Source organism: Homo sapiens, chromosome 8, assembly GCF_000001405.40.
Source record: "Homo sapiens chromosome 8, GRCh38.p14 Primary Assembly".
Lineage (NCBI taxonomy): Eukaryota > Metazoa > Chordata > Mammalia > Primates > Hominidae > Homo > Homo sapiens.
In genome coordinates this window covers 24,671,332-24,683,057 of record NC_000008.11, presented here as the reverse complement: position 1 = coordinate 24,683,057, position 11,726 = coordinate 24,671,332, and the positions used below count along the sequence as shown (strand labels likewise).

The window sequence follows — 11,726 nt, the reverse complement described above, 5'->3', positions numbered from 1 at the left end:
AATGTCCTGCAAGGAAAGTGCATTTATAATAAACATTTATGAGAACGTATTTCATGACGAGACAAAATTCAGTAATGGCTGTATGGATTCTGCTATGACTCAGCAAAATGGGGAAGAGCTTTGGGCGTGGAACCAGGAGTCTGCTTCTGATTTGATGTCTCTTATCAAGCTGTTTAATCTTTCTGTACCTTACATTCAAGACGAAAATACCCATCTCAGGTTTTTTTGTGATGATTGAATACAGTAATGCATGTGAAAGTGCCTGATAAATGGTAAGAGCTTCTGTAAATACTAATTGTCATGAGTGTTTGTCGATTACATTTTAAATGTGAGTTCGGCAGCTTAAATCTCCACATCTCTCTCAAACATTTTACCGCTTGCATAGTTAACTCGTAAAAAAGCAGAACAGTTTCTCACTGCTGTGCTTGCTGATTCATTTCCTGAGCATACAAGGAGATTAAAAAGATAATTGATTCTACTTTTATTGATTTCTGAATGTCTCAGAGCTTTTAATAAATAAAAATTTAGAAAAGATTAATACATGCTTTATTGCCTAGTGAATGACGCCCAACTGGCTTAAATTATAAGGAATTGTTTAATTCTCAGTATTGTAAGATTTAAAAACACGACCCAGTTTATGTCCTTTTCAGGGACATAGATGAAGCTGGAAACAATCATTCTCAGCAAACTAACACAGGAACAGAAAACCAAACACCGCATGTTCTCACTCATAAGTGGGAGTTGAACAGTGAGAACACATGGACACAGGGAGGGGAACATCACACACCAGGGCCTGTCGGGGGATGGGGGGGCTAGGGGAGGGATAGCATTAAGAGAAATACCTAATGTAGATGACAGGTTGATGGGTGCAGCAAACCACCATGGCACATGTATACCTATGTAACAAACCTGCACGTTCTCCACATGTACCCCAGAATTTAAAGTATAATAATTTTAAAAAAATAACAAAAACACGACTCAGGAGAAACAAGAGATGTTATGATATAATAAAGGTGATGAGTCCTTTCAGGCTTCCCAGTCAGTTGCAGTTTTATTCCAAGCTTTAGAAAAACAACCGTTGCCTGCTGGATACTATAACAAAGCATTAAAAACAACAATGTTGAGTCATTCTCCTGGGGGTCAATCAATATGTTAAATCCAATTTTGAATATTTGATCATGAAAAATGGGAATTAAGTTGTCAGATTTTCAAATTCTCAAATATTTGGATTTTCCTAGGAATGTCATAAGCATGAATGTGTTTATGTTGGTGGGAACTTTGAGTTTCCAGAGGCAATCTGGGCCATTCTCCAAAGTGACCAAGCTCTAAAAATGATATAGTGAGCCTCACTGGCCCCATGTTTTATTATTGGGCTTTTCAAAGAGTATTTAGGAATAGGATTTTAAAAAATATTACTTAGTTCAGAAAGGAGGACCTTGCATATTTTAGGAGATTATTTATATAGTTTTGAATAGTTCAGCATTTTTTAAAAAGTTAAGCTACCTCAGAGAGATGAGAAGATTAATTTGTTGACGCACAAGCATTTAGAGTACTCTCTAATAATCCTTTTTATTTCTTTCAAGTAGGTTTGAGTGCCTTCACTTTTATTCCTAATTTTAGTAATTTGTGTTTTCTTTCTTATTTTCTTGGTTAACCTAACTAAAAGTTTGGCACTTCCGTCATTCTTTTGAATGAACCAACTATTGGTTTCGTTTTCTCTATTGATTTTTAAATTCTCTGTTTTATCTCCTCTCTAGTCTTTATTAGTTATATCTTCTTATTTTGGGTGTAGTTTGTTCTTCTTTTTCTTAAAGGAGGAAGTTTAGGTTATTTATTTGAAACCAGCATTCCTTTTAAATGAAAGCATTTGCAATTGTAGATTTGCTGTAAGTATTACATTCACTGCCTCCCATGTTTTGGCATGCTTTTTTTATTTTAGTTCATCTCAAAGTATTTTCTGATTCTGCTGTGATGATGCCTTTGACTCATAGATCTTTTACGAGTGGGTTGCTTAGTTTCATTATATTCATGAATTTTCAAAAGTTCCTCAGTTGTTAATTTGTATTTCATTCCATCGTGGTGGGAAACATATTTTGTATGCTTTCAACATTTTTAAACTTTTGAGATGTGTTTTGTGAATTGACTCAGAGTGTATCTTGGAGAATCTTCCAGATGCACTTGAGAAGAATGTGTATTCTGCTATCACAGAGTGAAATGTTCTGTTGATTAGTTGGGTTATTGTGTTGTTCCATTCTTTTATTTTCTTGATCATCTGTCTCATCATTCTGTCCATTATTAAAAGCAGGGTGTTGAGGTCTTCAACCATGGTTATCAAACTGTTTATTCATTCATTTAGTCAGATTTGATTTATGTATTTTGGGGCTCTTTTTTAGGTGTATATATTTTAATTATTGTTAAAACTTTTTGATGGATTGATCCTTTTATCTTTATATAATGTCCTTCTTTGCCTCTCATAACAACTTTTGCCCTAAAGTCCATCTTGTCTGCTCTCTTTTGATTACTGCTTGCATGGGATATGTTTTTCCTTTTTTTTTTTAACTTGCATTTATTCGTGTCTTTGAATCTAAAGTGGGTTTCTTATAGACAACACATAGTCTGTAGGAATCATGTTTTGTTGTTATTCCTTTAACCCTTCTGCCAGTCTCTGCCTTTTAACTGGAGGGTTTAATCTATTTACATTGGATATACTTACTGATAAGAATACAGTTCTCCCCTTGGATATTTGTTTTCTATATGTGTTATTATTTTTTCTTCCACATTTCCTCCATTATTGTCTCCTTTTGAGTTAAATAGGTATTTCCTAGTGTACCATTTTAATTTTTTTTTTTAGTTAATACCAACTTAACTGCAATAGTGCACTAAAGCATTGCTGCTATAGCCTAGATCTTCTTCCCCTTTGTGCTGTTATTTTCACAAATTATTAATATATCTTTTTACACCATGTGTTCTCCAACGTAGACTTGTAATTATCATTTTGTACAGTTGTCTTTTAAATCAGATGTAAAGAAAGGAATTGCAAATTTAAAAATTACATTTGGCTTTGTTGCCGGAAGGGGCCCGGATCCAGACCCAAAGAGAGGGTTCTTGGATCTTGCGAGAGAAAGAATTTGAGGTGAATCCAAAGAATAAAGTGAGAGCAAGTTTATTAGGAAAGTAAAGGAATAAATAATGGCTGCCCCACTGGCAGAGCAGCGGTGTGGGCTGCTCCATTAAGGACACTTACAGTTATTTCTTGATTATACACTAAACAAGGGGTGGCTTATTGATTAGTTTTCTGGGAAAGGGGTGGGCAATTCCCTGAACTGAGGGTTCCTCCCTTTTTTAGACCATATAGGGTAACTTCCTGACTTTGTCATGGCATTTGTAAACTGTCATGGTGCTGGTGGGAGTGTCTCTTAGCATGCTAATGCATTATAATTGGGATATAATGAGCAGTGAGGACCGTCAGACATCATTCTTGTTGCTGTCTTGTTTTTGGTGGGTTTTGGCTGGCTTCTGGCTGGCTTCTTTTCTGCAACCTGTTTTATCAGCAAGGTCGGTATGACCTGTATCTTTTGCCAACCTCCTATCCTGTGACTTAGAATGCCTAATTTACTGTGCATGCAGCTCAGCAGGTCTCAGTCTTATTTTACTTAGCCCCTATTTAAGATGGAGTCATTCTGGTTCAAACGCCTCTTACAGCTGGGCACAGTGGCTCAGAGCCTGTAATTCCAGCTCTTTGAGCAGCCAAGGTGGGAGGATTGCTTGAGCCCAGGAATTTAAGGCCAGCCTGGGCAATATTGTGAGACCCTATCTCTAAAAGAAAAAAATTAAAATACATTAATACTATTTTTTTACATTTACCTATGTAGATAACTTACTGGTGTTCTTTACTTTGTATATATTTAAGTTATTATATAGTATATCTTCAATTCACACTGAAAGATTTTTAGCATTTCTCAGAGGGCAGGTTTGCTAATAACCCTCTGTATTTGTTTATCTGGTAATGTCTTCATTTCGCCTTCATTTTTGAAGGAAAGTTTTGCTGGATATAAAATTCTTGTTTGATGGTTTTTTCGTTTATTTTTAAGCTCTTTGAATATGTCATCCCACTGCTTCTGGCGTCTGCGGTATCTTATGAAAACAGACATTAATCTTTGGAGGGGCATTTCCATATAATGAGGTTCTTTTCTCTTGCTGCATTCAAGATTCCTTATCTTTATCTTCTGACACTTTATTATGTGTAAGCACATATCTCTTTGAGTTTTTTTGACTAGAAGTTCTTTGAGTTTCTTAGATATGTATTTTACTATTTTTAATTCAAATTTTGGAAGATTTGGACCCTTATTTCTTCAAATATTTTTTTCCCTTTTTGTTTCTCCTCTTCTTCTGGGAATCTCATTATTTGTGTGTTGGTATACTTGATGGTGTCCTACAAGTCTCTTAGGCTCTATTTATTTCCTTCATTTAAAAAATTATATTTCTCAGAATGGATAATCTCAATTAACCTATCTTCAATTTTACTGATTTTTCTTATGCTTACCAAGTGTGCTGCCCAAGTGTGTTCTTGATCCTCTCTAGTGAAATGTTATTTAAGTTGTTGTGCTTTCCTACTCCAGAATTTCTCTTTAACTTTATAAGTTCTGTTTCTTTATTGGATTTTTTATTTGGTGAGACATTATTCTCATGGTTTCTATAGTTATTCAGACATGATTTTCTTTAAATTGTTGAATATATTTAAATGATTTAAAATAGATAATTTAAGGCATTTGTATAATAAGTTATCTGAACTCCTTGAGTGACAGTTTCCATTGATTACTTTCTTCTCTATGTATTTATTTATTTACTTATTTATTTTTTTGAGACGGAGTCTTGCTCTTTCGCCCAGGCTGGAGTGCAGTGGCACTATCTCGGCTCACTGCAAGCTCTGCCTCCCGGGTTCATGCCAGCCTCCCGGGTTCATGCCATTCTCCCGCCTCAGCCTGCCGAGTAGCTGCGACTACAGGCACCTGCCACCATGCCTGGCTAATTTTTTGTATTTTTATTAGAGACGGGGTTTTACCATGTTAACCAGGGTGGTCTCGATTTCCTGACCTTGTGATCCACCCGCCTCAGCCTCTCAAAGTGTTGGGATTACAGGTGTGAGCCACCACACCCAGCCTCTTCTCTATTTATTGATCATACCATTTTGTTTCTTTGCATGCCTGATAATTTATTGCTTCAAATTTAACATTTTTAGTATAAGTTGGCAACTCTGATAACCAGATTCTCTTCTTCAGGATTTCTTGTTGCTGCTTGTTGTAGTAGTTGTTTATTTGGTGACATTTTGTTTTAGTGACTTTCAGAACCAATTCTGTAAAGTTTTCATTTTTGTTATGTGTGGCCCCTGAGGTCTCTGTTTCATTAGCTTAGTGGTCAAGTAATGATAGGGCAGGAATTTTCTTCAAATCCTGAAACCAGAACATCTTCCGGTCTTACACAGAGTCTGTGTATGTGTTTGTGTGTTGGTGTGTGTGTGGTGTGTTTTCAGCACTTAGCCAGGCAGTTTAAAACTCTGATATTGCCTTCTTGCTTTCACAGAGCAATCAAGGTCAGCCATCGGTGACTGATTCAGCCCTTGCTGGGTCTTCCTTGAGCACACACACAGCTCTGGGCATGCATTTAGCTTTCAAGGTTTCCAGAAATAGGTTGCAGCTTACTAAAGCCCTTATTTTCCAACACGTCTTATTTTCTAGTCTTTCCTTCAAACCTTTTGGTTAGTCTGTTTTAAGTATCATCCATTACCTGAGACAGCAGTCACTAAAATATTTATTTGCCTGTAAATGTTTCCTATAAACACACTCGAGGTAGTAGCTTTAGCACTAGGTGGGTTCTGAATCAGGCAAGATAAAGGCAAGTCTTTTGATCTGGTCTTCCAGGGAGCCACCAGACAAGTCAAAACATAAAAGTTCAACACTCTGAAAATAAATGGCTTCTGCTCCATCTGTTACAAGTACCAGAAATTACGAATTTTTTAATAATGCTCTGAGCTGGAAGTGAGAGCTAGAATTAGGGTAAATTAAAAAGCTACAAGATCTTACCAAGATTTAACTGCTGTTTTTAAGTAAGTGTTCTGTGCATTATTTCAAACTTTTGGTATGCTTGTATAAAAAGTTGATTCTGATTTTTTTTGTCAGATTTTTCATTGATTTTTCTGAAGGTGTGAACTTTTAGAGTCCTTATTCCATCTTTTTGCTAATATCAGCTCATTTTATTTTTTGTTAGTGTTTTAAAGAATCTGTTGAGAATGCCAAATAGGTTTTCTCCCCTCTCCCCTCTTTAATGACAAAAAGTAGATTATTTTAATCTTCACGTTTCTTTCTGATTCATTTTTTCTGCATATTTTGTAGTAAACTTGTGTCTAATTTGTTATGCTTTGATTTCCTCTTGTCCATCAATAAATAACGTAAAGTATGTTCAAATTTAATGTCAATCAACAGGCAGCACCTGGACATTTTTCTCCTCACTGACTTCTCTTGTGTGTACTTCCTGGCCATTTGTGGAATGTTAGATCTCATTTTCTATTACACAACTGGGTTTCAGATTGCTATGCATGGCTCCTTAGGTAATATATCACTAATATTTAGAGAGAGATCATGTAGTTTGGAAAATCCACATCAACCCTAGCTACATGCAACTTAGATTTGCTTTGGAGAATATGTGCTTGAAATATCATAGCCCAGACTTACTGAATAAAATAAGTCACAATATAAGACACATGTGCCATATATTGAAATGGCTCTTACTTAAAACTCCTATGTCTTTTGTTTCCTAAACCTGAGCATAAATTCCCAAATTTTCAGTCAATTTGAGTCTTCAGGGTACAGTCTTAATCATCATGCAGGGAGATTTTATGAGTGGATTTGAAGAATAGGGGAAACAGAATTTATCGGGATAGAGTAAGACAAACCACATAGACTTTCTTCCTGCTGTATGAGTTTGATAGACAACCTGATGCTCATTATTCTCATGGGTTCCCAAGGGACTAGATTCATCCCCGGGTGCCCTAGGACACGTGACATGTTATAAAAATTCTTTCTAAATCTATCAGGGAGTGAGATTTTCAAATCTATTTATGAAACAGTAGAGCTGGAATATTGGGGTAGGGGAATATAAGGGGAAATTATCAGGAAGTGACAGTATCCATGATCTAGCATTGTTAAATCTGGTTATCATGCATTTTTTGGCTCTATAATTCTTGTACTACTGTTGATTTTCCTTTGATAAGGAGAGAATATTAATTGTAACATAAATACTGTCTAATAACAGGAAGAAAAACCCACGACTGTTTCAGAAGCATGAACCCTGTTAAATGGAAGGTCCTTTGTGTTGTGAATCGTAATTTATTTTCAAGCAAATACAGGGCCAGAGCTGTGTTTGAAGTAGTTTCTGGGGAAAGCCACTTTTGGGATCCATTCAGCAAGAGGGGGATGAAAAGAGAGGAAGGCCTGAGGACCCTAGTTATTGTGGTGTGGCATGGAGTGGTGGTATCAGTACAACAGCTAAGTGTTTGCTACTTAGACTTCATTAAAAGTTCGGCTAGAGAAATGATTCTTAATATAATCCCCAGTGATGAAAGAGCCAAAAAATATTTAAAAGAAGGATGTATAGTTCCCAGCTGGGAATTCTTTGTTTAGAATGCTGCACTATGGAACAGGTATTATGTGAGTAGGTGGGAAGACAGTTTATAAACTATTTGACAGAAAGAAGAGCTTGGAGCTAGAGGTGACAATTAAAACACACCTCCCCTCTTTCCCCTTGGGAGTTTTAGTGTACCTCACGCTATATGTGTTCATCCCACTGTATCTCAGGTCATGATACTTTCCATATATAGAATACTCCTCCCATTTTTCTTGATCAAAATTTGTTCACCTGTACTAGAACTCATCACTGTGTCCTCCTATGAATTATTTTCTGATGCCCCCTGTAGTGTGCTGATGCAGTGATACTGCATATACTAACACCCCCCTGAATTCAAACCTTTGGAAAGTTCTTTGTGAGTATAAGCTAGCCCATGTGACATGCCTTGGCCAATGGGACAGCAGCACACTTAATGCAAACAGCAACTTGGCAGTTACTTGTACCTTAGGGTTTGTTTTTATGCTGTTCCTGAAACATTGTCACTGATATGTGAATAAGACTGGGCTTGCCTTCTAGCACATGAAAGACCATGGAGAGAAAAGTCCCAGTAAATCTGGGTGTCCCAGAAAAGACAGTGATAAACCAGGCAACCCACTAGCTGACTGTCAAACATTTAGCAAGCCCAGCTAAAATCTGTTGAGCCCAGCCCAGATGAGCTGCCTAGATGAGTGCAACTTAAACTGACAGATGTACAAATGTGTGCTAAAATATGGTTATTGCTTTAAGCCATGACATTTGGGGGATGGTTTGTTACACAGCAAAAGCTAGCAAATACAGCTTCATTAGGAGCTAATTACTCCATCGTTTATATTTTGCTTAAAATCATTCCTTGAGGATTAGAATGAAGTCTTGTGTTAATGTTACAGCTTATTCAGCTTTTACTTCAGTTCCTTGCATTTTGATACCTAACATTTACTGAACACTTAACTATGTCTCAGGCACTTACTAATTGCTTTAAGTGTAATAATTAAGTGGATATGCAGAACAACTCAATAATGTCATACTATTATAACCATTGTCTAGATGACGCAACTGAGGCCTAGAAATAACTGCCAATGTAACAAATCCAGACCCTGGCAGGATATGCATTTGAACCAAGGCTATCCGGCTCCAAAGTATGTACTTTTAATCCCTGCAATATACTTCTTTGCTACACTAAATTGGAAATATTGGTGTTATATAAGTACTTAATTTATGGTTGACTATTTTCTAATATTCTTCCTCTTTCAGAAAGAATTAACTTTGCGGAAGGACTCTTACATTCTCCAGTGAAACCTTTACTCTGGGAGCAATTTGACTGAGTCATAGCTGAGTTCATTAAGCCTTAGTGCCTCAGGGATGCAGCTGAGGACTCAATGGCAGGTTTTCAGGGATGTAAACCATTGTGTGGACAATAAAATAGAGAACACTAAGGCTGTGGAAATTTATCTCCCTGTGAAGCTTGCCTTTTGGCTTTTTCCGAAGGAGAATATCCCCAGTTCACTTGTAGCACTGCTCAGTATCCAGGAGGGCTTGTTATGTAATCCCATCCTGTTTGAAGCTTCTTGAGCTTCAGTAATCTCAGTTCCCTGTGAAGCACCAGACACAGGAGGACTATTTTATATCAGCTTTAAAAATACGGGAAAAATATTGGATGCATATTCCTTGAACTTAGAAACTATGAGTCTAAGGTCATAGCTGGGGAGAGATTGATCTGATTATAATAAGATCTGTGACTTAGTAGTGGAGGAGTTGGTTCTAACCTGGCAAGGCACAACCCACCCACATGATCTTCTGTAAATCTTCTAGGGTAGCGTCAACCAGCAACCTTTGCCAGTGTATGATAGCTAAGGGTTTGCTTTTTAGACTTTATTAAAAGTCCAGCTAGAGAAATAATTCTGAAAATAATTTGCAATACATTGTTCATTTACTTCTGGGATCTAAGTTTTATTGTGGGCTTAGGTCAGTCCACTAGGAGACAACATTTTTGCCAATTTGCCAGATTGCCTTTATGTGATTGTGTTTTACTTATCCTCAGAGTTTAAGATGTCAGACCTGGGATCCAGCCCCAACTCTGTCAATTATGGGCTGTGGGATGTTGGGAGAGCGGCTTAATCAATTTAAGCTTCCATTTCTGAATTTGGAAAATGTGATAGTAAATACTTCATAGAGCTTTTGTAAGATTTTAATGGTCTAGCTCATGCAAAAAAAAAAAAAAAAAAAAAAGGCCCTGTAGCTTAAAAATAGTTTGTGGCTTAAAATTTGTAGCTTTTAAAAAAAGCCATATGAAATTCATTTTGGTGTATTTGCTGTAAAATCTGTTGTAAAAATCTGTTGTTGAGGTAATTGCCAATTTTCAATGTATCCTATAAAGAATTCCATTTAGGTTTTACAACCAAGTTAAGAAGAACTCTGCTTCTCTGAGAAAATGGCATTTTCTCCCTCCAGTAATAAGAGTGTGCTAATTTCCCATGTTTCCCTTTTTGTTCTGGAGGCAGAGAAACTCAGGATAATATTTGTACTTCATGTATATCAGCTTGCCTGTTTGGATTATCCACTTTCTTCTCTTCTTTTTTGTGGTTGTGATTTTAAAATTTCTATTTGACTACCATCATTGTATAAATGTCTTATTTTAAGCCATCTTGAATGTTTTTGGACAGAGGAGCTGAACTAAGTAAAAAATGTCACTTAGACTCTCAAGGTCTCTGTTTCCTTCGCTGACAAATGCCTGCCTATCTCCAAGGCTCACAAAGATCAGGTAATGCAAATGAGAGAATTTTGGGAAACCAGACACGCTGTACAAAAGTCAGCTGAGTCCAGCCATAGCGACAAGCAGCCGTCAACATGACGTGAGTGCCTCTCAAATGTTCTCCAGCCTAGCCCTCATTTCTGAGCTCAGAACTCTTTCCATAATATACTTTGAATTTGCACTTGGAGTGACACATACCAACGCTTTGACTCAATATCTCTGAATGAAAGGGAAGATCATGTGGATTTGGAATTTGGATAATAGGGATCATTTGTATTCCACTGAATCCAGCAGTGAGAGCATCAGGAAGCTTAAGGAAGGCAACAGTGTTACTGGAAGGGAGTCTGGATCCGGACCCCAAGAGAGGGTTCTTGGATCTGGAGCAAGAAAGAATTCAGGGCGAATCCACAGAGTAAAAGTGAAAGCAAGTTTATGAAGCAAGTAAAGGGGGCCAGGCACCGTGGCTCACGCCTGTAATCCCAGCATTTTGGGAGGCGAGGCGGGCGGATCACGAGGTCAGGAGATCGAGACCATCCTGGCTAACACGGTGAAATCCTGTCTCTGCTAAAAATACAAAAAATTAGCTGGGCGTGGTGGGGGGCGCCGGTAGACCCAGCTACCCGGGAAGCTGAGGCAGGAGAATGGCATGAACCTGGGAGGCGGAGCTTGCAGTGAGCCTAGATCACACCACTGCACTCCAGCCTGGGTGACAGAGCGAGACTGTCTCAAAAAAAAACAAACAAAAAAACCCAAAAAAACAACAACACAAAGGAATAAAAGAATTGCCACTCCATAAGCAGAGCAGCCCCAAGGGCTGCTGGTTGACCATTTTTATGGTTATTTCTTGGTTATATGCTAAACAAGGGGTAGATTATTCATGCTTCCTTGTTTCATACCATACAGGGTAACTTGTTGACATTGCCTTGGCACTTGTAAACTGTCATGGTGCTGGTGGAAGTGTAGCAGTAAGGATGACCAGAGGTCATTCTCATCACCATCTTGGTTTTGGTGAGCTTTGGCTGGTTTCTTTACTGCAACCTGTTTTATCAGCAAGGTCTTTGTGACCTGTCTCTTGTGCCGACCTCCTATCTCATTCTGTGACTTAGAATGCCTTAACTGTCTGGGAATGTAGCCCAGTAGGTCTCAGCCTCATTTACCCAGCCCCTATTCAGGATGGAGTTGCTCTGGTTTGAACACTTCCGACAACAGGAGAAAAGCTCCTTCTCACATCTGCTTTCTCAGGTAAGGCCCAGTGCTCAACATGGTGCAGTCTCAGGGCAGGGCAGGTCCACAGGGGGTGTTTTCCTATGGCCCTGCT

The 11,726-nt window shown here is 37.9% G+C and overlaps 1 long non-coding RNA gene across 1 annotated transcript; it reads left to right on the top strand.

Moving 5' to 3' along the window:
• Window positions 1-201: 201 nt before the first annotated feature.
• Window positions 202-9,849, top strand: LOC107986882 (uncharacterized). The gene is made up of 3 exons (XR_001745701.1): window positions 202-272; window positions 8,704-8,795; window positions 8,911-9,849. It is a non-coding gene; the product is annotated as an uncharacterized LOC107986882 (long non-coding RNA).
• The last annotated feature ends 1,877 nt before the right edge of the window (window positions 9,850-11,726 follow it).